Here is a 26,965-nt window from a genome sequence, read left to right as displayed (position 1 = left end):
TTTGTAATGCTGAGTCACTCATTCATGAGGCAATGTTGACCTCTGCCTGGAATAGAGGCAACATTAACAATGAGTGTAATGCTTGCTGCTAATTATTGCAGTTCATGATCAAAATGTACTTTTCCTAATGCTTTGCAAACAGGTACAAATACGTTCCAATCAACAGATTTTTGTCCACCTACTCATCTTCACCTGTGACATGGTACTGGAGAGTTGAGGGACAATTTAAAAACAGAATAAAGATCTCTTCCTACACACAGCCCAACATTTCCCTATCCATCATCTCTTCCCCTTTAGAGGATTGCAGGAGAAGGCAGTGTAGAAGGATATGGGCCATTTTTGCTGTGATTTAGTCATCAGGCCAAAAGGGATGTAAGCTGCTAGACAGTGCCTTTCTTGGGCAAGAAAGTACATGAGGGCATCTTCAGATTTTCTCTGAGGATTAAGTTGAGCAAAATGCCCCTCTGCTGAGATTTCCCCAGAGACTGCAAGAGGATGAGTGTTTTACAGGGATACAGATAGGGGAGTACATTTATTTTGTTGACTAAGTAGTCACTCAATAAATGTTTACTGAAGTCAATGATAGTATATACACACACAAGGTCATCCATGTTAAGAGAAAAGGAAAATATTCTCAGAACTCTTCAGAATTCCTTCCATAGAATCTTACTCATTGTTGATTTCTTCTCTTAAGCCGGAGCTCGGCTTCAGGAGTACTTTTCAAAATATCATGTATTTTGCTAACTCTATATAACTCCATGTGTCATTTCATCCAGAAAACTTGTTTCTAATGCTTTTTTCTCTGGACTCTAAGCTGGTTGATGCCACCAGGCCTTGGGAAAAAGCCTGCCTTCTGATAGGATTGCTATTGAGTAGCAAAAATTCTTGGATTCTGATAACATCTTTCATGCAGAAACTCAAAGCATCTCCCAAATTATAAGCCCATTCTTTTACACTGTTCTACACTCTCACAGTGAGTAGAATGTTTGGGTTTTTGTTTTCCTTCCAAGAATATTTCTCAAGTAGCAGAATCCACTTCATTTCAAATTAAACCACCCAAATTAATGGTCCAATTCCCCATATACTAGGTTTAATCTCTGCACAGGCAGAAAGCTGGTCTTTGTAACTCCTGACTAGGACGGTCTAGGTTTCTAGTGCTGGTTCTGTCATTTAGATTATGTAAGAATAGGCATCATAAATCTATGGAATGACTGAAAGTATAGCTAATCAACTGGCCAGAGAACCTAAGAGGGGTAGGGTCTAAGGTAGAATAAGGAAGAAGTAAGGAATATAACTCTCTTACTCCTGTGTCCTTTCCAGCATTTCTCAATTGCAAGGGTGAGGAATGGATCTGTGCCTTATTAAAATAATTGATAATGATTCAGGCTAGGGGCATGGCTGCCAGCAGCATTAGGCCTTCATCTCACCAGACACATACAAAGAAGAAATAACTTTTGGAAACACAAGTTGCAGGTACTACCAGGATTATAGAAGGCATACTCTTTCCCAATACAATTTGAGATTTCATCCAGATCTCTGGTGAGCTACCAAGGTAGGTCTACTGGAAAACTAAACAAACTAGCAACACCTTGAATTTGTGTGGCCATTTGTGTTCTTCACAGCATGTTCACATCTTTTATCTCAGGTGTTCTCACAGCAGCTCATGGGAATAGTAACAGGAGCTCTATTATTGAGCATTTACTATGTGCCAAGTGTACACATATTCACTCACTGATTCTTCACAACAATCCTGAGTGTTAGGTTCTATTGCTAGCCCCATTTTACAGATGAGGCGTAGAGAGTTTGAGGTCACACAGTGGTAAATGATAGAACCAGCACTAGAAACCGAGACTGTCCAGAGCCCAGATGCTAAATCACTATATTATATGGGCTCAATGGCTTTTAGAGAATTTGAGTGACTAGGATCCAGTAGCACTGGAGTTAAGACCTATTTGTCCTGTTTTTTCCTTATTCCAGCATTCTACTGTTTGGGAGAGCTCTTAGGCTTTGTGTTTAGATGACCTTCTTTGCCCGAGTCCACTGTGGCTGTGATTTTCCTTCCTGTAGTTGCTCAGGAATCAACATTTTCCAAGGTCAAGCTCAGGATTTGAAACGTTTAATTTCCTGCAAGTTGACATTTTACCATTTCATTTTACCATTTCATAGTCCCAAAGCCTCCTGCAGCTTTTAAAGAAGTAATTTCAGATATCCACTCCCACAGCTCTAGGAACAACTCATTTCAATCTTGGGACATTGACCAGAATTCAGGGAAACTAGCATGATCCTTCCAGTCTGACGTTTCATTCCATCTACTGTCCAAAGCTGTGTCTACAAGGCATCACCTATGAGGTAAGAGGTGGGGAAAATTTTAGTTTTCCAGATGAAACCCTTTACCTGATATTTTGTGTTGGGAAGACAAAATGCCGAGATAACTAATGTTTCTTTCTTTCTTTTTTTTTTTTTTTTTTTTGAGATGGAGTTCCGCTCTTGCCGCCCAGTCGGCAGTGCAATGGCATGATCTTGGCTCACCGCAACCTCTGCCTCCCGGGTTCAGGCGATTCTCCCTGCCCAGCCTCCCGAGTACTGAAATTACAGGCGCCCGCCACCACTCCCAGCTAATTTTTGTATTTTTAGTAGAGACGGGGTTTCACCATGTTGGCCAGACTGGTCTCAAACTCCTGACCTCAGGCGATCTGCCCTTCTTGGTCTCCCAAAGTGCTGGAATTACAGGCGTGAGCCACCGTGCCTGACCAACTAATGTTTCTTTATTCATTGGGCTATTTGGGGATCATGCAATTAGTGGAAAAATATATTCCATAAGGTTTTGTCACTAAGGAATAGTAGTGTAAACCCATCCAATCTAATCATAATAAAAATTATTCAGTAGATCTGAAATAAGTCCCATAAGCCCAGGAAAAAGAGAAGTCTTAATTACTTGTACCAAAGAATGGCTTTGGAAGATTAATGTTAGAGGAGGGCCTAATATGGTTTTTTGATAACACACAAGTATTTATAAAGTAAAAACAACAGACTGGGAGCAGTGGCTCATGCCTGTAATCCTAACACTTTGGGAGGCCAAGGTGGGCAGATCACTTGAGGTCAGGAGTTTGAGACCAGCCTGGCCAACATGATAAAACCCCATCTCTACTAAAACAAAACAAAACAAAACAAAAAAATACAAATAAACAAAAATTAGCCGGGCATGGCAGTGTACACCTGTAATCCCAGCTACTTGGGAGGCTGGGGCAGGAGAATTGCTTTAACCCAGGAAGTGGAGGTTACAGTGAGCCAAGGTCACGCCACTGTACTCCAGCCTGGATGACAGAGTGAAAACTCTGTCTCCAACAAAAACAAACAAACAAACAAAACAAATACAGGAGAAATATTTTTAGCAACTTAACTTGAAAGTCAACAAAATCACAGCAACCTTCTAGAGACTTGTTCTTTAAATTTTTTTTTAATATTTGTGGGTACATAGTATGTGTATGTATTTATGTGGTACATGAGATATTTTGGTACAGGCATGCAATGTGTAATAATCACATTATGGAAAATGGGGTATCCATCCCCTCAAGCATTTATCCTTTGTGCTACAATTTTATTATACTCTTTTAGTTATTTTTAAATGTACAATTAAATTATTATTGACTGTAATTATCATGTTGTACTATTCAATACTAGGTCTTATTTACTCTTTTTATTTTTTGGTACCCATTAACCATCCCCACTTCTCCCATCCCCCCACTACCCTTCCCAGCCTCTAATAACCACCCTTGTATTCTCTATCTCCATGTGTTCAATTGTTTTGATTTTTAGATCCCACAAATAAATGAGAACATGTAATGTTTGTCTTTCTGTGCCTGGCTTATTTCGCTTAACATAATGACCTCCAGTTCTATCCATGTTGTTGCAAATGACAGGATCTCATTCTTGTTTATGGCTGAATAGTACTCCATTGTGTATATGTACCACATTTTCTTCATCCATTCATCTGCTGATGAACACTTAGGTTGTTTCCAAGTTTTGGCTATTGTGAACAATGCTGCAATAAACATGGGAGTGCAGACACTTCTTTGATATGCTGATTTCTTTTCGTTTGGGTATATTATATACCAAGTATTGGGATTGCTGGATCATGTGGTAGTTCTATTTTCAGTTTTATGAGGAACCTCCAAACTGTTAGAGACTTTTTCTTGATGACTGTTGATTAAAGACCATCTTGAAAGGATGTTAAAGGGGTTACTGGGCTGAATATTTATTTTCCCTAGTTTCTTAAATTCTGTATCTTTACCTATTGGTGATTTTGTTTTGAACTGGCCAAAATCTAGAGTTTTCAAGAGCTAATCTAGTACAAGATATTTAAAATTAAATGTAATGATGTTGATCTATTCTGTTAAACACGAGTGCAGTGATTCCCCTATTAAAAATATGCATAAAACCCATGAGTCAAAGCCAATAATAAGTCTAGAGACTATTCTAGAGCAAAGTAAGGCTATTTTTTTTTTTACGCTGGCAAAGTGTAAAGCATTATTGGCACATTTAAATTTCTTTAGCTCCTTCATAAAATTATCAGTAGTTAGCTATCTTCAATATACTTGATATAGAATGGGATGGAAAGAAGAACAAAGTTAAGATTTAGTAAGCCATGTCTGTATATTGAGAAATCATATTAAAAAGCATAAAGAGCTTTATGATAGATGAGCAAAAGATTTAAAAATCTGTTGCGTTCCCCCGTTATCTGCTATTATCTCCACATACTACAGCTCACATAGAGCAGAACCATCCCTCAACCTGTACTGTTCACTTATGAACTACAGTGTATGAGAGAAATTAAACTCCTCACACATTACCCTATTCTCTAATTCTCTGTAATTTTTGATCTCTTTGAAAAAACATCTTAGACTTTCCCTGATGTAATGCTTCAGCTAATTGATTTAGATTGACATCCTTGCCCTAGCCCAAAGGAATCAACTGTTTTGGTGTGCGTCATTCAGGCGGCTTGCTTCTTGGAAGTCTGATGTCCAATCTATTGATAGTATTGAAAATCATGGAATAGAAAAACAAATAAGTCCTTTGGACAAGAAAGCATCAGCAAGAAACTTCCTTCCAGCTCCCTTACTCCTGTGATGATGGGATGGGGCTACTGCTGCTAAAACACTGGGCAATGTATAGTAATATTTGACTCATAAGGTTTTCATGAAAACCACTCTTCCTCGGTCAAGTTTAGACAGGTTCAGCATCTGGGAACACCAAATACTATTAAAGTCTCCTAAGATTCTGCTGTCCCCTAGTCCCTTGTTTCTATTTTTCCTAGGACCCCAAGTGGCCAAAACAAGTTTATAAAGGAGGTGGTATTCCTGTTTACTTTAATATTTCATATTTCATAGCCCCTTTTACATTAACCTTTCCAACAATACTTCAAAGTAGATAATGCTCTGCTTATTTTACAGACAATAAAACAAACCCTCTGAAATCAGGAAATTTGCCAGAAGATGGCGAGCTGGGAAGAAATAAAACCAGGATTTGAGCCAGGTGAGTTTGCCTCCGGAGTCCAAGACTTTCCCACTGGCTCTTCCCTCTTCTTTCTTCTGTGTCATATTGGCTCTCTTCTGCTGCTGCCTAAGCAAAGGATTAGCATTTAACAGGGATTGGGAGGGATGCCAAGATGAGAACACCACCAAGAGGAGAGAACAGAGCTGCTTGCCCAAGGACTCTCCCATATGCCAAGTCAGCTCAATGAGCTGGGAGGCAGAGTGTGCAATGGAAAAGCAACAGGTCTTCAACACTAAGCAACATACAAATTCCATCTCCACTATTACTGAGTGGTTTCTACTGCCAGGATCGGTGTGGTTGCATGTGACATCAGACTCCTAGGAGACCACATCATCTATGGATTACAGCCTCTCCACTAAATCACTACCTTTCTCCAAAGTGTATGTTCCTGACTCCTGGTCTACACTCCAAGTCTATCTTAGAGCTGAACCCTTTTCTGCAACCAAGGCTGGTTATCAGATGGCCCTGACCCTCTTCTCCGAGTCCTGATGGGCCTGAGAAGTCTTCATGGTAGCATCTGACCACCAATCTACTTCGTTTTCATTTTTGGTCAAGATTAGAACTGTGCTTTCCATGTCTTGAACTTCCTGATTTAGACTGCAGATTATTCTTAGTTTCCTCCAACCTTGCTCCTATAGCAGTAGCTTACTCCAGTCTAGCAAGAAACTACCAGCCTGTGACATGGCTGTGGCTCCAAGATCATTTCACAGGTAGCCCTAGGGCACTTGCTAGCTTCACTGGGCATTAAAAGGGGCTTGAACTCACCTGGGTGGATCACCACTTTCCTCTCTAGAGTGGTGAGGACAAAGTGGGGATTTTCCAAAACGAATAGATAAACCACTACTCTCCTAGGAAACGCCTTTTTTCCCCTCCTGTGGTCATTCAATGCCTGCATTTTAACAGGCAGTACCAGATTTTCTGAAGGTTTGGGGAGAAAAGGAGAAAAGAGGGTAGATTGAGAGTATCACTACAATCCTATAGAATAGATTCCACTTCACAGGCTATCATTTCTGGAATCAGCTTCTCTCTTGACAGTAGAGTTCCTATTACATCTTCAAAGAAATATATTAGTTACTAAATCCTTTAAAACATTTTATTATGAAAAATTTTAAACATATACAAAAGTGGATAGAATAGTATAATGAAGCATCACATAGCCATCACCAGCTTCGACAATTGAAAACTCGTGGCTAATCTTCTTTTGTCTATACCCCATTTGCTTCTCCCATGTCCTGGCTTATTTTTATACAAATTCCAGAGTTTACATCACTTTATCCATGAATATTTTATATATATCTTTTAACCATAAGGATTCTTTCTTCAAAAAAAACATCACAATGCTATTATCACACCCCCAAATTAATAATTCAATATTATCAAATATTATCCAATATTCAGTCTTCAGATTTTTCTGTTTCCCAAGAGATCGTTTTTTTACAATTGCTTTGTTCAAATCAGAAACCAAAATGCATGCATTACACGTTAATATGTCACTAAAGTTCCCTTTGATATATACGCACATTTTTCTTCTTTGTCTTTCTCATAATTTGTTGAAAAAAGTAGATAATCTGTCCTGTAAAATTTCCCACATTCTGAATTTTTCTGATTGCCTTCCTGTGATATCCTGTCTCCTGTATTTCCTATAAAATTGATAGAGAGCTCAATAAGAATCTTGCTCAATCCTCTTTTTTCTTTTCTTTTCTTTTTTTTTTTTTTAAAGAGACTGGGTCACTCCGTGTTTCCTAGGATGGAGTACAGTGGTTATTTACAGGTGTGATCATTCATAGCTCACTGTGGCCTTGAACTCCTCCTGGCCTCAAGCAATCCTGCCTCAGCTTCCTGTGTAGCCAATTTTCTATAAAAATATTTAATAGTTTGTGTTGTGTATTTTCTTTCACGTTATATGATGAGGCATAGAGTGTATGATTGTTTCCCTACTTGTAATGTTAAATTTGATCAGTGTGTTCTGGTATTGTCAGCTTGATTCATTCTTTATATAATTCCTCAGTAAGTTTTTTATCTAATGGTTTAGAAGCCATTGAGGGTCATTGCCCAAATTCTTTATTTCATTAGGGATTGCAAAATGGTGACATGTAAATTCTATTATGCCTTCTGCATTTATTAGCTGCAACTCTTTAAAACAAAAACAAAAACAAACCAAAAAGCCTTCCCTTATCAACTATTCGGTGATGCTGAAACATGGTTCTTATGGGAAAAGTATGATAAATGGTTGATTCTGTCTCCCCTCACCCTCCTTTTTGTTACCAGTTTCCAAAAGGTGAGTAGTGAGCATTTTTAAGTGTCATTATAAACACATGTATTTTTAAACATATTTAATTTATCATACTGAATGCTAATATTTCTGTACAGATAGCATTCTTTAAATCATGGGTATGGATATGTAAATACAAGTAATGGAAGGCCAGCGCAGTGGCTCATGCCTGTAATCTCAGCACTTTGGGAGGCCAAGGTGGGAGGATCACTTGAGCCCAGGAGTTCCAGGCTGCAGTGAGCTAGGATTGTGTCACTGCACTCCAGCCTGGGTGACAAAGCAAGACAATGCTTCTAAAAAAAAAAATGAAAAGTTAAACATTAAACAGAGCAAAAAGGACTGTTTAGAGCTGCCCAGGGAGAAAGGAGACCCATTCAGGGAGCAGTGGAAGGCTGATGAGTAATGGGCAGACTGAAGAGAATACAGAACTACGGAGCCAGCACTGGGCAACTGCAGTAAGAGTACTTTTAGTTGGAACTAAACAGGTAGTTCTGGGAGCTGGTGAGGAAGGCAGAGTGAACCCAGGATCAAAGGGAGAAATATGAGCCAGCAAACCCAACAGGGAACCTTGAGAGACAGTTTTTGAATCAGAGTAAGGAGTTAAACTAAACAGCAACCTAATTTAAGCAAAAACTGCTGTGCATCTGTACATTGGCAAACTGAATTACTATAAATGCAAAGATAGTCTTATCTCTATTGTTATGCAGTCCTGCTGGGCATGTATTGCACACTTCAGAGATACTCACAGAAGAGCGAGGTAACACAAAGATGGGGAAGAAGAAGGAGGAAAGGCCTTGGGTTCAAGAATGTAATCTCTGGAGAAGAAGTCTTTCAGTGCTCCTTTTTTCTCAGGCAGCAACTCAAAGACACTAGAAAACTTCTTTGGAGACTGTCTGAGATCTGTACTATCCTTACAGAAAGGCATAGTTGATGACAGAATATTTTTATATTCTGTCTTAGGCTAATATAACAATGTATATTACTTAAGAATGATTGTAAAGATTTTTATCATTAATTTTAAGGGAAGGTGTAATAAAATCATCAGAGATTATAAAGTAAGAGAGGATCTTAAAGGTCATATAGTTGTAGTCTTAAATGAAAATATTAAGACAAAATCCTCATTCCATTTTTAAAAAGTTGACATTTAGATGAACAAATTCAACAGAATGCCAAGCTCTTTTGCCTCCTGGACATAAAAGAAATACTAGCTTGGTGAAAGAGTTTTAGCAATAAAAAGTAACAAGAAAAACAAACATAACTCACAACCATTATGAATTTTCCTTGCAATGGGCATTCTCATGTTTTATGAAATTAGAGATTGCTTACACTATTTCCATTTTTAGAATTGGTAGTTTCAAGCCAGTATTTAAAATATTAGCACTGAGACCAGGATTTAGCATGAATACAGAAGTATTTTTTAACTGAGATAGAAATTCAAATGTAAATTTGGGTAAGATCATATTTCCTTGATATTTTTCTTTATTAAACATAGCTTCACTTACCTATCCTTAAACAGAAGATAGAAATTTTGTGTTTTTAAAAACTGCTACTTTTTGGGCTTCTATTATTCTTTCTTTTATTGTAAAAGTAATATAAAGACCTCTAAAAAAACAGAAAGATTATCAGACATAGTATGTTTCCACTTAAAATGCTGTGACCATGTATGGCCTGCATTATGACAAATGGTCATAGCCTTAATTTCAGCGGGTGTTTTCCACTTTCAGCAGCTAAAGAAAGCACCTTTTTCAAAATTGTCCCCCAAAAGTCACATTTAATGGTTAAAAATATTACTTTTGAAAGTATTTTCACTTTCTTAAGGTAATCTTCATCAGAAAGACTGAGTATTTTAGGGCAAGTTCATGCGTGATGTTGGAGCTTACTCCTCACCAGTGTTTCTTTCTAGATATGTGATCCATGTTCTTTAAGGAAAGGCTAGATGAGCATCAATAAATACAAATGTAAATTTGAAAATAAACATTTAAACATAACACATTATTCAAAATAATGTATATGGGACAACTATTTTAAGGAATATCTCTTAGGGAAATATCACCTACTTAAAATTTGTGCATGTGTGTGTTCATCCCTAGATGATACCAGAATAACCATTAAAGTGTCATCTCTTTTGGTTTGTTTTCTTGAGACGGGATCTTGCTCTGTCGCCCAGGCTGTAGTGCAGTGGCATGATCACTGCAGCTTTGACCTCTTGGGCTTAAGCTATCCTTCCACCTCAGCCTCTCAAGTAGCTGGGACTATATGGGTAGAGCACCATGCCCAGCTAATTTAAAAAAATTTTTTTTTGCAGAGACAGGGTTTCTCTATGTTGCCCAGGCTTGTGTTGAACTCCTGGCCTCAAGTGATCTTCCCACCTCAGCTTCTCAAAGTGCTGGAATTACAGGCATAAGCCACCATGCCTGGCTGCATGAAATCTTCTGAGGTATTATTTTGAGAACATAAATAAAGAATTCCACAATCAGTTTCTTTTCAAAATTTGGATTTAAGATCCTCTTCTCCCCTACAATAATTTTAAAATATAATTATAATATGCTGTACAGACACTTATGGGTTTAAATGGACCAGATGCTATGTCCTTGCATTGTATGTCAGAACACTAAACCAATAATATAAAATTTTATTTAAACCGCAGTAAGATACAAATTCTGAATGCATCATTGTGTTTATTTTAACAGAAATAATATTTTAACTATTATATGGGAATGGTGCACATCAATAGCCAATAATTTTGAAGTCATTATCACATGTAAATAAATATGACTTATTTACATATGAAATATCTTAAAGATATGACATATCAATAGAAGATCTGACTACAAAAATAGTTACAGAAATTTCATCAGCTGGCCTTGAAAACATGTCTTATTATGTAGTCACGCTTCTGAAGACCTGAGTTATTCTGTAACCAACACCCATCTCCCTACACTGTCCTAACCAAAGGAGCCAGCATTCATTGGAAATTGTTTACTCTTGGGAAAGACTGTTACGTTCTTTGTCAAAGTAAAAAGATGTGGAAAAATTGACTGATCTGATTTAGATAAGAATTATTAATTGTTTTAAATTACCCTCCCCTCTTTACTTTTGTAGAGTGAAGCAAAATATGTAGACAAAGATAGAGTAAGTGGTGTGTGTGTGTGTGTGTGTTCCTAAAAGGTTACTTTAAACTGTAGATAAGGTTAACCTTCTAAAGAGAGTATCTCTGTCCTTCTCCATGGATCAGTGATATGGTCATTTTTGACCTCTTGCAGCACAGCTCCAATAATAAAAAAATTCAAGTTAGACTTGCCATTCATTCCAAAGCAAAACTCACTTTCAGATCATTATCAGAACAAAAGCTCAGTAAACAAACTTTTGAACCGTGAAACAAATAACTCCCAGGCGGTCAGGCAATTCCAGCATTCATTTTGGAAAAAGGAAAATGTTGCCATAGAAGTAAGCCTGTGTCAACATCCAGTTCTACTAGCTCCTTTCTCTCCTCACCTTACAAGTAGTATGATAGCCAAGGCAGTTCCTAGATGCCAATAAACATTTGTTGTTGTTGTTTATAATGTGGTCATAATTACTTCCAAATAGATATTGAATATCATCATATAACTAAGTATGGCTTGAGGGATGTGGAAGGAAGGGAAACAGAGGAAATTTGTTTCTGTTGTCTACCTTGTAGGAGTGGAACATGGGGTTTTGTCTAGTTGCACATTTCAACTCCAATCAGCTAGCAGAATCACCTTCTTCCAGTCTGGCCATGCTTGAGAGTTTCTGTCCAACATTGAGGATTTAGCTGACATAGAAAGCATGGAAATGAGTTCATCCCTTTCAGCCTGGATTCACTGCACCACAGGGACAGCTCTTCAGTTACCCATTACAGAGGTTCAAATGATACTCCAACAGCTGGTGCAATGAAGAAAGTAAAATCAGGAAATGCAAAGTTGAATGGGCTACCACTTTACACAATTTCTGACTTTGTTTTATAGATTATTTTATTACCATCTATACTTGTTTCGAGGCATTGGAAAACTAAGTACTATGTTACATAACCATTTACATGTGATTTGACGATAAAGATGGAGCTGTAAAATAAATATTGCAGTGTTTTGTTTTTAATACCACTTGTGTATACTAATGATTATATATTTATAAGTTAGTCTTTCAGACCAGGCATGGTGTCTCATGCCTGTATTCCCAGCACTTTGGGAGGCCAAGGTGGACGGATAGCTTGAGCTCAGGAGTTTGAGATCAGCCTGGGCAACATGGTGAAACCCCGTCTCTACCAAAAATACAAAAAAATTAGCTGGGCATGGTGTTGTGCACCTGTGGTCCCAGCTACTCGGGAGGATGAAGTGAGAGGATCACTTGAGCCTGGGAGGTGGAGGTTGCAGTGAGCTGAGGTCATGCCAGTGCACTCCAGCCTGGGCTACAGAGTGAGACCCCATCTCAGAAAAAAAAAAAAGTATTTTCTCCCTAAAAGCTAGAATTTATAATTCTTTTGTATTCATAAAGCACCTGTTCCAGCACTGGATACCTTATAGACCTATAGTTCCTTGATCACAATGTATTTGTTTAAAATTTTGAATGGTAGCTATCTTTATAATTATATTATTAGAAAACTTGTATATCTCAGAAGTAGATTCTAGTAGAACAATATTTAATTTAAAAAACTATTAACAGTTAATTCATGGCATACTTATTATGTTCAACAAAGTAATTAGTATTATTATCCCCATTTTACAGACAAGAAAACTGAGGCTCAGCAAGATTACTTGAATTTGCACAGATTATAAGTGATGAAACTGGGGATCCAGCAAAGTTCTGTCTGATTCTATGCTGCTAACCACTACACTATGTTGTCTCTCATATTTATACATTTGATGTGAGCCTTCTATACTTAAGTTTCTATTCCCTGACTTTAAGTCTTTCCAATTTAAAAAAGGGGGTGTTGTGTTGCAGGAAAGGATTTGTATGAGAAAGAAGTGAGGTTGTCCTTGATCCCTTGAATTTATTTGCTCGCCAATGAGGGCTGGAGTGTTTTCTGTCTTTGTTACTGTCTGCACTTTCAAGGAAAAGAAAGTCTTCTCATCAGTGATATCAGAGTGTACCAAGAAAGATCAGGTTGCTGATTTTCAGAATGATCCAGGTCCCAGTAAATACCAATGATTTTTATCAGATTAAGAAGTCAGGCAGTCTACTAATATCCTTGTCAGAATCAAATCTAATTCCAAGGTTGCAAATAGAGCTATAAGAAAGAAAAAAAAGAGAGATGTAATATTGTGGCTGGTAATTTTTGTCCTTTTCACTGTGGACGTGAATATTTTGTTTAAATATTTAGTTGGGCAACAGCAGCTTCAGAGAATTCTGTGAGATGGGATTTGTCTCTAGAGGCCCCTTCAGTATTAGCTGGCTCCCTACTTGCTGGTTGGGCAGTGTCTTCCTGCTCCTGTCCAGGGATCCTCCCATTCCCTTCTTGTAAGTCTGTCTTCTGAAAAACAACTCCATATCTGATTTCCACCATCTTTCTAGTCTCCTGGCAATTTTTACCTGCTGAGCTGGTTCTTAGTTGGTTACAATGCAATGACCCCATCTCTGATTATGTTATGACTGATGCTAATACATTAACATGTTACATACTCCACGTATGGTTTAATGTGGATTTCATGGACACCATGTCTTGACTCAAAGATTCTCTTTCTACGAGAGAGAAGTGTAATCATAATAGAAAATGTATTTTATTATAAAATGGAATAAAAAACAATACCACAGTGGATTAACACCCTGTGGTCCTGGGGTATTAAATTTAGAGGCAAAAAATTATTGCTCAGAAAAGAACATATCAAATAATTGGGATTATTAAACAGATCACATGCAAAAACCATAATAACACTTAAGTCTCTTGACTCCAATCTGTACTTTAGTTAACAGATTCCCCCGTGTAAAGAATATATGTGACCAGGCGTGGTGTCTCATGCCTGTAATCCCAGCACTCTGGGAGGCTGAGGCGGGTGGATCACGAGGTCAGGAGTTTGAGACCAGCCTGACCAACATGGTGAAACCCCATCTCTACTAAAAATACAAAAATTAGCCGGGGGTGGTGGCGCGTGCCTGTAATCCCAAATATTCAGGAGGCTGAGGCAGGAGAATTGCTTGAACCCAGGAGGTGGCAGTTGCAGTGAGCCGATATCGCTGCACTGTACAGCCTGGGCAACAGAGTGAGACTGAGTCTCAAAAAAAAAAAAAAAAAAAATGATGGCCAGGCGCGGTGGCTCACCTGTAATCCCAACACTTTGGGAGGCTGAGGAGGATGAATAGCTTGAGCTCAGGAGTTCAGGACCAGTCTGGGCAACATGGCAAAACCTTGTCTCTACCAGAGATACAAAAAATTTGCTGGGAGTGGTGGCACATGCCTGTGGTCCTAGCTACTCGGAGGATCTCTTGAGCCTGAGAGATGGAGACTGCAATGAGCTGAGATTGTGCCACTGCACTCCAGCCTGGGTGACAGAGTGAGAACCCCATCTCGAAAAAAAAAAAAAAAAGAATATATGCTACAGTGTAAAAGGTTATCCTCCCCCGCTTTGTGTCTCAATAAATCTAGAGCTGTAGCATAATCATGAACAAGACATTTTTATTCTTAGTTTAGTAGATATAGCTTAATAAATTATATTCTTATGAACAACTATTGGAGGAGTGAAAATTGCTAGTCGTCTTCCATTTCAACTGAAAGCCTTCCTCTGAACAAGTTGTTAGAACATGTTCAGAGATGCCTATCATGAGAACATATAATAGGATAAATTGACTGTGGGAGAAGAAGGCAAGGATTAGTCACTCACAGGTTGGCAGCATAAAGACAAGGTAAAGGGCTGCACACCAGGCTGACAACCATAAGATGAACCAGCATCCTGCCTTGGTTTGAGTGGGTGCTTATTTCTTAATGACTTTATGAATTTTCCAGACATTGATAATAATGCTACAAAAGCAAAGAAAGAGGTTAAGTATGTAAGTTATAAAAGAGATTTAAAGAGTTTCTCTATTTGTGGTATATTCCTTTAGGATTAGTTTCCCAATAGAGAAAACAATGGTTAATTGGATAAAATATAAAACTATGGGCAAGTAAATCTGAACATGTCAAGTATCAAATGCTAACTCAATGAGCACACTCTTGTCTTGTTATGTAACTGCTTGAATATCTCAAAAATACCTGCTCTAGGGTAAATTCTTAATAGATAACTATCCTGAGTTTTAAAGTATCCAATGATAACCGATAAATCTGTTACCTATAGGGTTACATGATTTACTTAGTGCTTCTGAGACAAATCTCATACTAACAAGTATTTTATCACTAACAATCTCACCAGTCTCCCAGAATATCCCACGCCTGCATGGGCTACTGTGGGTATGACTTTGTAGGAAGTTGAGTGAATTAGAAGTGATGTTAGCTACCCAAGAAAGGAAAGAGTCAGTCTGAGGCTGAACGAGTTTGGAAGCAGCAATGAATATTCAAAAAGGAAAATATCATTTTCTCTCTGGAATAGAGATAGTAGAAGTGGATAAATGCAGAAGTGGCTACTCTTAAAATCCCCAATCCATCCAGGCTTTGCATAATCTGAATATGGTCAAATCCCCCCAGGATTACTGATGTGTATAATCCGAAGAAGGGATGGTCAGAGAGGACATACTCAGAGGACTGAATAAAGTTAAATTACATGATGATCTTTTCTGTTACAACCCTTCTTTCTTTTTCTGTTCTTATCCTTGGTTAATATAACAGAGTGGGCTTCTAAGTCTTGCTGGCAGCACCAGCCAGCATCCAGTTCATTACCCATTATTTGCAGAAGGCATGATGATTTTTTCCATAATGCATATAAGCCCAATATATATAGAAACCTCGAAGTATTTCTCCTTGCTCCTAACATGTTAGCCTAATTACAACTTTCTTGTTAAGGGTTGTTTCAAAATATACAGACCTATCTGAATATTTCTGGTATTTTAGTATTTTTTTTAATAGAGACAGGGTCTTGCTGTATTACCCAGACCGGTCTTGAACTCCTGGGCTCAAGTGATCTGCTCACCTCAGCCTCCCAAAGTGCTGGGATTACAGGTGTGAGCCACCATGCCCAGACTATTTCTGGTATTTTATATTATGTTCTTAATACTTTTTTTTTTGAAATTAACAGAAAAGTTTCTAAAATGCAGTGGTTCATCTCTCTGACCTCATTATTCTGTCCCCATAATGTGCATCACAATAAAAACGACTGACAAAGGACTTTGAATACAAGTAAATATAGAAGCTCTATGCAAATATGCCTGTGGAATCAAGAGAAAGAAAGAAAAAGCTCTTAGGAATTGTTTATGCTTTCTTTCATCTCAAGTGCCATTTTCTCTGTACATCAGATAACATATTGATTTTAGTGTACTTCAATTCTCAATTTTCCATAAACCATAAAAACCTTAATGACTTCTCCAAAGCTCAAGTGAGAAACAATCAATTAATTTTCCCAGCAGTTCAACTCTGTCAAAATTAAAGTGCTATTTTAATGAATTTTTCAGACATTTAGGCTCTACACAGCAGCAGTTTAATGCCAAAAAGTCTTTCTTTGACCATTGCAAGAGAAGTTTAAATATATACCAATTAAACAGAAAGTTCAAATGTTTTAACCTTTATAATAGACATGAAAATGCAAGTCACTTTACATGGCATATTTCTAGAGTTTAACCTAATGCTGAGTCTACAGCAGCTCTGAACAGAACTGTTGCAGAATTATCCATAATGTAACAGTGAAATGCATCAGCTACTACCCACGTGATGCCATTCCTCCATGTTGTGATTTGAGGAAACACACACACACACATGATTGTCCTACTTCCCTCCATAGGTCTGATACCTAAAAATTCCCACTGCCAATACCACCTCTTTGAAATGAGCCATTTTTCAAAAGGCCATAGTAAAATAGTAAAAATTCCCAGAAGGGAAAAGAGGATAGGAAATTAACATGCTTTCATTTGCACAATAATGACCAATAATACATTAGCACACATTAATGTATTGGATTACTTAACTTGCACTTAGAAAGCAGAGATTACAATTGGGACAGGTGCAGTTTGGAATGGTGGAAAGCAGGTGGCAAGGTCTGTATCTTGAAGTGACAACAAGGAAGTCTCCAGGGAGAAAGAACAAATAGCAGTGATGGAAAAGAAGGTTCTGAGAAGGGTAAGGATTTGCAAAGGCTGGAAGTAGCTTCAAAGTAAAGTTTATTTCAGGCTGCTCTGAATATGTGAAGAAGAATAAAACACTGGAATATTAATTGAGCTGTGAAATGAGTTAAAAATAGAACTAAATTGCAGACAGATAGGAAACTCTAAGTTTCATTTGTAGAATATGGATTGCACTTTCAATAAAAGTTCAGTGATGTTGTTGCTTGATACAATCTGCTTCATCCGGAGCATGAGAGAATCCACAGTGATTCTGAGAGGAGACCTTCATGGCATTTCATTTAGGACCTGTTCAGGCTTTTCTGGTCTATTTTTGGTTTGTTTTTGATTTTTCTGGTTTGTTTATTTTTTTCACTTAGATTATAATGTAAAATTTACTTAATGACTTAGTGAATTTAGGGAAGCTATCTCGAAGCTTCATTATCTTGTTTATAACATTCTCTTTGCACAAGAGTGGATCTGTTACAGTTCCTTTATGAGGAGGAGGCACTTTCACACACAACCATTAAACAGTCTAATTTGCCATTTGGCCTGTTTCCTGTTAGATTTCAAGGTGGCTGTAGACAGTCACATTTCTTGGTGCTCATCTAATCTACTCTTTCTTACAATTTTGAGTTAATTCCTTTGTCTACCTGTTAATCATTTATAGGCATTTCCATAGGATAGGTCTTTTTGCATCTTCCACAGGACTGACTGCAAAGTGCGGTGCTAGAGGACCTTCTGAGTCAAGCCCTGGGACTTCTTCACCTACAGAAAGCAGGTTGGCATTCTTTCTTGGAAGCTGATCTGCCTCACGGTTGCTGTAATAGAAGGAGCGGGCTATTATCATTTGAACTGAGTGCAGTTATTCCTCCCCCACCATCATTTCCAGCCACACCTAAAGCTCAGGCAACTGTGCGGGTGGGCAAACAGAAGGAGCTGATTATCATTCATGACATAAATAAAAACCAAGAGGCAACCCAGTCACCAAGTGCAGGAAAGAAAATAACATCATAAATCTCATAAGTTATTTTCCATTTACATAACCAGTAGCAAATATCACTTGTAGTGCTTAAATAATATAAATATAAACTAGGAGAGACTCTTTTCATGGATCTTAATGAAACATCGTATATAACAAGTATGGAATAAAAAGGCTCATTGAACAGATTTTAAAAAGTCAAAGATAATATAAACAAATGCTCATACATGCATAATACATATGTGTCAGGCACTTTATGTTCATTGCCGAGACTGAAGTTTGCAGGTTGTAAAAATAAATAAGCTTACAAATCCCTAAGGGGTATTAAAAAAATCGTTTGGTACATCAGACAAACTGATCTGAGGTTGATGTTCCTGGGGATTTCAATAGATTGGATGGTCTGGCCCCATAACCAGTGTGGAGATGAATGTTACTTAGTGATAAGTTAAAGGGAAAATAGATTTGTCTTTACAAAATGCTTGTGTTCATACTCTTTACTGAGATGCCCTGCAATTATGATATAATCTATTTGTTTCATTCCAGATGTTCAGTCACTGTTACTTTGAAATAGGCTGGTGAACATTATTGTGTATTTCTTACACAGGGGCAAAGGAAAATTTTAGAAAACCACATCATTTGTAAATGGTTACATTGACAGAAGCAAGAATGAACTCAAACTTCTCTACTTCAATTTCTTAGCCTATTTACTACAGAATGGCTGATAGATATACCAATTCTAGAGTAGTCTAGAAAAACCTTAGTCTACGTTTTTTTCTCTATTGTTTTTAAAAACAATATTTACTAAAATTTTTGTATTGAAATGTAATATTGCTTTTTAAGAAAAATATTAAAGTGTATAAAAAGAGGAGAATAAAACTCACAGATAATGTTAATAGACAGGATACATTTTGATGCATCTCTTCCCTTCTAAGAAAAGTTTGGTTCATACTATATATACATATTGGTTTTCGTTAATCTAGGAGGTCATCTTTATTAACATCCATCAATACTTTATGCACTACTACAAAATAAACAAAAATTATGCTAGTACTATGACACAATGCTTAACGACTAAGAATTATTATTTTATACTTGTTGAAAGAAATCCTTTAGACATAGGTTTTATCAAATATCTTTACTTACATAATAAAAAATAAGTGAAACTAATTGTCTAGGTATTACTAAAACTTTTTCATGTTTAAACTTTAAGTCTTATGATTCACTCTATGATTCAGACTTTTCAATGTTTGTGGTTTTCCACACAATATCTTCTGTTTCAACTAGGGTATTGGCAAGACAGCATTTCTTGAAAGAGTGTTCTGTTATTGTTTCTAGAACTTGGCTTCAAGCTGACCTCACCCCACCTGCAAGTCTTAATACACTTGGACATGCCATGAAATGACAAGAAATATTCAGATTTTAGATATGTAAAAATATTAAAACTATGCCTCTTAGAATCTGTGAAGTATGGTATATGTAACCCTTTTTTGTGCTAAATGTTATAACATGAGAATTTACTACTATCTTTTAAATTATGATGTTTAAAGGCTCTACAATAGTCAATTTAACTTATTTAAGCAAACCTCTATTATTGAACATTTAGAACCTTTCCAACTTTTTGCTGTTATAAATAAAGGTATGATAAACATATTCAAGCATAAACCTTTGGTCACATCTTTGATTATTTCTTTCTTTCTTTTTTTTTTTTTTTTGAGATGGAGTCTCGCTCTGTCACTAGGCTGGAGTGCAGTGGTGTGATCTCGTCTCACTGCAACCTCCACCTCCTGGGTTCAAGCGATTCTCCTGCCTCAGACTCCCAAGTGGCTGGGACTACAGGTGTGCACCACCATGCCCAGCTAATTTTTTGTATTTTTAGTAGGGACAGGGCTTCATCACGTTGGCCAGGATGGTCTCGATCTCCTGATGTCGTGATCCGCCTGGCTCAGCCTAGGTAAAATGATATGTGGTTTGCAGTTTCTATATATTGCCAGATTGCTTCCTAAAATGATTGAATCAATCAATAACCAGTAGAAGATGTATGCACACAATATTTTCTAACCAGTAGTTTTCACTACTCCTCAGCCTATATACAAATTAAATGTTGCTTCTTGACGAGCTTACACTTTCCTTTCATTTATTCCTTTACTTTTATTTATCACCTCCAACATGATAAATAATTCCTTTTCCTGTTTGGTATTTACTCCTTTAATGATCCTATGAATTTCCACCAAGAAAGCTCTTAGTCATTGCTTCCCCAATCTATACTAGATATAACCAGCCACCTTAATTTTCCTCTGAAATCAGTTTTCTTAATCACTTCATTGCTCTAATTTTTTTAGATACTCAAGGGACTAAACCTGAATTTATTATTAGCAGGTTTTTGTCATGAAGGTAGGAACCTTCTATTTAATTTTCCTGATGAAATGCTTATTTATGTCTAGTCTTCTATTCAATTAGTCATTTTTCTCTTGTTCGGGATAATGAAGTCATTGCTCTCCATTCTGACCTAAAAGGTTCCTTTTAGAAATATTGTCAGACCTTGTAATAAGCAAGATTTCTATCTCTAGTATATTTATGGGCCAAGTCTTTCTGATCACAGGAGGTTTGTGTAGGAAATTAAAACTATTTTTAATATTCATCCTTTCAGCAAGCATCCACTGGGCTCACACTATTTATAAGGTGCAATGCTTAATGCCTGTGATAATACCAAGGTATGTAAGGCACATACCTGGCCCTATAATAATATGTCAAATTTATTGGATTCTCTTTATGCATCAGACTTGGGTCTAAATGCTTGCATGCACTAACTCATCTAACCCACCCAACAATGATATGAGATTGGTCCTATTATTAGCCCCATTTTACAGATAAGGAAACAAAGACAGGGAGAAGCCCAGGATCACCCAGATGGAGAATTTGAGATTTGAACCTAGACTGTCTGACTCCAGAATCAGGTTACTTCTACGTACTTTCCTATAGAGCTTAGAGAATAGTAGGGTAGACCGGATTTACGTATAAGATTCACTCAAATACTTTAAACAAGGACATGGTAGTGCAGGGGGTAGAGGAAATGGGTGAAATCAAGATGCAAAGAAGAGGTAGAATAAGTTTGTTGTGTAGAAATGAAAGTGAGTAGAAGTAAAAGTTTGTTGGGGAGAAATGCAAGTGAGTAGTTCAATGTGGGGTGGAAAGATAATAAACTTTAGAGTCCAACACCCTGCACTCAAATTCTGGCTCCAGCACATATTAGTTGTAAGGCAACTTCTCTAGCCTCAGGCACTCAACTTATTTTAGTCCTAATGAGCAAAGGTATAAAGTGTAGAAACACACGACACGTTTAAGGAATGGAAGTAATATAGGGTAGAGCAGGTTTAAGGGGATATTAGGGACAGTTCAAGGAAGGAAGGAAGAAAGGACATGTGTGTGCTCGTGTACAATAATTGTGGCAGAAGACAGAATAGGTATGAGGAATTCTTGGAAGACCTGAAGACAGCAGAAAATGAATTGTCATTTTACTTAAAGGAAAACAATTACAACAACAATAAGGTTGACTGCAGTGCAGTTTGGAGTAAGAATAGACTGAAGAAGTGAACCTGGAAGAGGCTATTGGGATTGTCCAGGTGAAAGATAAGGTCAATAATCAGGGCAATGCCATGGAAAAGAATGAGAGAGATTCCAAAATTATTTCAAAGGTAGATTTGAAAGAATTTGATAGCCAATTGGGGATTTGGGACTGAGTCAAAATGTTCCTCATGTTTTTGCCTCAGGGACCTGCAATGATGAAAATGCCTTTGCACAGAGAAACTGCAATTAGTTTAGGTGTGAATCAAGAGTTGAAAACTTGGATGTCAGGGGTATAGTTGACTTTCTGAAAAGTTTGAATGCAAAGGCAAAGAGAGAGTGGAGAGTTTCAGGGTCAGTAATCCTAAAGCTCAATTAGGAAAGTGAATTTCTTTAGGATTAATCCTTTTCTTTCTTTAGCAGAACCCAAAGTTAATTGTATATTATGGAGTCTTCCTCTCATGCTTATCAGAAACCTTCATTTTTTTTTTTTCTGGATTAAGTATTTCTTTGAGAACTTGATGAAAGCTATGAACTTCTTTTATCCTCAAGTTTGTGTGTGTGTAATTGGGGGGATCATAAATAGCCACAGAAAATGTTGCATACAAGTTTAGGGAGTTCTCATATTTTTAGAAGCTCATGAATCCCAAGAATCTACTCTGCATAACTTCTCTTTTAAAACAATATATTAATTTCTTTCTACCTATAATTAGCTGCACATCAGATGCTGTGCTAAGTGCCCTACTTATATTAGCTCATTTAATCCTCCCCACAGCATTTCCATGTAGGCATTACATTTCAAACATGGGTGACATGGAGTTAGACTTGCCCAGGGTCACAGAGCTAGTGTGTGGTATAACCAAGATTTGAGCTTAGGTCTCCGTATTATGGTTATCCAAAGAAACAGAACCCATAAGATGCATATAAATATGCAAGGGATTTATTATAAGGAATTGGCCCACATGATTAGGGAGCCTCAAGCTCTGCAGGGTGAGTGGGCAAGCTAAAGACCCAGGAGAGCTGATACTATATTTCCAGTCTGAGCCCAAAGGCCTGAGAACCAAGAGTGCCAACGGAGCAGCTCCAGTCCAAAGGCAACAGGTGTGAGATCCGGGAAAAGCCGACATGTCAGTTCATGTCTGAATGCATGATAAAGCATATGGCCCTATCAGGCAGGGGGAATTCTCTTTTACCTGGAGGAGGGTCAACCCTTTTGTTCTACTTAGGCCTTCAACTGATTGGATGAGGCCCACCGACTGCCCATCCAACGTTGGGTAGGGCCATCTATTTTACTCCCTCTACTGATTTGACTGATATGTTTACCCCAAACACCCACACGGACCCACTAAAAATAATGTTTGACCAAATATCTGGGTGCCTGCTGGATCAGTGAAATTGACACATGAAATCAATCATCACAATCTCTCTGGCCCCAATTGCAGTGTCCTATACTGTCATTTTTTAAAACACACTGTAATATTTTTTTCCTAGGTGAACTTGCTGTTTGCTTTCAAACACACCTTACTTAAATTATCCATGTTAGAGCTGCTTCTTTTCTTATGCTTCCTCTTCCTCCCATTACGTTCTCCTAACTGAAGATTTTAAAGTAAAAGCAACTTGAATTCATTCTCTTTGTTTTCTCCTCTCTTTATTTTTTCCCCAAGATGATAAACTGTCCAAGGAAGTTTCTTTCATTTTGAATGTTGAAAGAGGATTTGTCAGGTAAAAGTGAATCCACAGATACCCACTAGGAGTGCATATCAGGTGTTAAAATAGTTTTCAAATTCACTGTATGCAATGGAAAATAAGTGCTGTTTTTTGGTAGCACTATTGAAAATTTCAGGTGCCTGCTTAGTATGCAGTGTGTGTGTTCATAAAAAGTCAATGCACGATTTAAAAAAATATATTGTGGATGTTTTTAGGCCCTGGAGCAAATCCAGAATAACAGCTGGGATTTTACTTCTCCTGGGGGACTCCTCAAACTCATGAAATTCAGTCCCAAGAAGTCATAACACTCTGTTAGTATGAAAGCCCTGTGAGCAGGGGATTGGAAGCTCAGTTGTCAGAGTACAAAGGAAATGAAAGGGAAGTTGCTCTTTCTCTCTATCACACACATTTTCAGCTCTTCAATAGACTGAATGTATCCATGCAAGCTTGAAAAAGATGATCAAACAATAAAATTAAAGCTTTTAGTTTACAGGGTTTTTTTTCCTTTTCTTTCCTACCAGGTGAAGGAGGTACTAGGAGTAGGAGATTATGTCTTCTTGCCCCTTTATTTTGAAAATTTTACATGGAAAAGGAGATCAAGTGAGGCCACATTTAAGAGTACGTCTCTTGGCCTATATAATCAACTATGCACACTGGTTAAGGTAAAACAAATTAAACTAAATTTTGAATTCTATAAACCCAGGCTGCAAAACCTTTCAAGTTACACAAATAACTAGGAAGAATTTGTGTTCAAATAAGGACCACAAATTCTTAATATAAGTGAGATGATGTCTATAAACAGTGGCTGTAGTTGTAGCTTCAGTCTTTAAAGGATATTGATTTTCAAATTTAGTAAAGGAGAAAAAGAATATATCTTATGTCCTACTGGCTGGTAGATATCTTCCTCATAAAGCTCCAAATAGTGCTATGATTTCCTTGGAATAGATTTTTATAAATGGTGCTTTGAACATAAGATGATTTTAGACAATAAAACCAAGTATTTCAGACTTAAGTTTTTTTTTCTTATACTTTAAGTTCTGGGGTACATGTGCAGAATGTGTAGTTTTGTCACATAGGTATACACTTGGCATGGTGTTTTGCTGCACCCATCAACCTGTCACCTACATTAGGTATTTCTCCTAATGTTATCCCTCCCCTAGCCCCCCACCCCCGACAGGCCCCGGTGTGTGGTGTTCCCCTCCTTATGTCCATGTGTTCTCATTGTTCAACTCCCACTTACGAGTGAGAACATGTGGTGCTTGGTTTTCTGTTCTTGTGATAGTTTGCTGAGAATGATGGTTTCCAGCTTCATCCATCTCCCTGCAAAGGACATGAACTCATCCTTTTTTATGGCTGCATAGTATTCTATGGTGTATATGTGCCACATTTTCTTTATCCAGTCTATTATTGACGGACATTTGGGTTGGTTCCAAGTCTTCTCTATTGTGAATAGTGTCACAATAAACATATGTGTGCATGTGTCTTTACAGTAGAATGAGTTATAAACCTTTGGGTATGTACCCAGTAATGGGATTGCTAGGTCAGATGGTATTTCTAGTTCAGTGATTTCATTCTTTTTTTCTGGTCTGATATTATAGAGTGATCTCAACAGTATCATGAAAAGGATTCATTAAAGGGCTATTTCCCTGTGGTGATGTGCTATGTGTGGCTCAAGTGAGGTTAAATACCATCATCATCAACTAACATTGATTGAATGCTTACTGTCTCTGGCTCTGGGGATGCAGAGAGTTAAGCCATGGTTCCTCTTGAGAGAACTTAGGGCCTCGTTGATAACTTTGGTGTACGTACAATGATGACACAAGACATTGGATATTGGTGAACAAGTGTTTAGACAATAAGTATTTTGTGATGGGAAGGATACGAATCTATCCTTAAGAGGTTCTTTAACCAATCTCACTTGTATAATACATAAAATAATATCTGACCCTTACACACAGAAGAAGGCATTAACTTGATCTTCCCTACTAAACTATACTTTTCTTTTTTCTTTCTTTCTTTTTCTTTTTCTTTTTTTCAGACAGGATCCAGCTTTGTTGCCCAGGCTGGAATGCAGTAGCACAATCACAGCTCACTGGGCCCAAGTGATCCTCCCACCTCAGCCTCTCGAGTAGCTGGGATCACAGATGTGCATCACCATGCCTGGCTAATTAATTTTTTTTCTTTTTCTTTTACTTTTGATAGAGATAGGATCTCGCCATGTTGCTCAGGCTGATCTCAAACTCTCGGGCTCCAGTGATTCTCCCACCTCGGCCTCCCAAAGTGTTGGGATTACAGGCATGAGCATAATTTTCTTTTTGTATCCTTAGCTTTTAGCCCAGAGTCTACCACATTGTAGGAATTTTGCCTATGTGGCTTAAAATACTATTAACAGGTGTAAGCTGGAACTTCCTCTGCACTATAATCCATCACTCACCTTGGCAGGACAAGTGTACTGCTGATTGCACTATAACTGTATGAGTATGATTCAGTCCACACAAGGCATTTATTGCGTGGCTTTTCCAGAACGATACTTGTTAGACCCACTACGGACATATAAATGTTATATAAGCTGCTGTAAAATGTTGTGGTCATTTCTTTGTTGTCAAAACCTAGGTCTTTGCTTGTATACATACATCAAATGTCTTGGTTATGGCCTGATTGTCCTTGTCCCTTTGGGAAATCAATGGCAAATGCCTTTCTCTATATAAAATTGGCAGGACTAGACCTTGAAACAAGGTTAGGAGCAGACTAAAGTACCCAAGGAGTCTTGTTCATTTTAGGATGAAGGGTGGGCCATTTAAAGGTGACAGGTGTGACGTTCATATTGATTTTCTGGATTTTACTTCTCAAAGAGTCTGGAAAGAAGATTTGAACAGCTCAGACAGGATTTCTACTGCTAACCCCCTGGGATGGTTTGACTCTGCCCTTCATTTAGCCCTTCAGTTCCTCTATCCTTGAAGCTTCTGGACCTGAGCCTCTCCAGTGCTTAGGAGAGATAGCCATTTGCTTTGGCAGCTGGGCAGTTCTGTAATGACAGACAGCCACCCAGGCCAGGGACAGCAGCAGAGGCAAACGTCCTCACCCGATAAGACCGCTTATGCAGTGGCAGAGGAAAAGAAGATTCTATCTTTCAGCCTTTTCTAATTAATATATTTCTCTGGCAGTATTACTATGTTTCCAAGAGGAGAGGGAGAGAAGGCCAGTGTGAGCCAATGTCCTCAATTCGGGAGAGCAAACTGCAGTTCCTTCAGAGGCCAAAATAAACTGCAGGACACCGAGTCATTCATAGCAGTGCAGTGGTTGGGCCCCAACAACCACAAACCAGTAGTTACAGCCTCAGGGGCCCTAAATTCTTCGGTCCACATCAGATACTCCGGAGGGACAGACAGGTATTTTCTAGCCAGCCCCCAGCCTTGAGGCAGAGGCAGATGTCATACTCCACAGGACAGTCACCGAATGTCACCTGGAACACTGTCAGGAGCCCCTCCTAGCATTACCGTTTTGAAACCACAAGCAAGAGTCCCATGTCTGGGCAGAATCTTCCAGGCTGTATCACAAAGCTGTCTCCCTCCCACCTGACTCATTTTTCCACCGATTTTCTATGAGCCTATGACAAGGGGAAGAAACTAATCATAAAACCTGATCATAAAGCCCTTCCTATGCTTGAAGACAGCGATTACATATTCACTCAGCCAAGG

General features: G+C 38.0%; 1 long non-coding RNA gene across 1 annotated transcript; it reads left to right on the top strand.

The window, feature by feature from the left end:
• Positions 1-794: 794 nt before the first annotated feature.
• Positions 795-19,453, top strand: LOC102724421 (uncharacterized). The gene is made up of 4 exons (NR_120490.1): positions 795-973; positions 2,222-2,349; positions 5,451-5,532; positions 19,335-19,453. It is a non-coding gene; the product is annotated as an uncharacterized LOC102724421 (long non-coding RNA).

Source organism: Homo sapiens, chromosome 12 (genome assembly GCF_000001405.40).
Source record: "Homo sapiens chromosome 12, GRCh38.p14 Primary Assembly".
NCBI lineage: Eukaryota > Metazoa > Chordata > Mammalia > Primates > Hominidae > Homo > Homo sapiens.
Note: the sequence above shows the minus strand (reverse complement) of the source record. Positions and strands in the feature narration are given on the sequence as shown.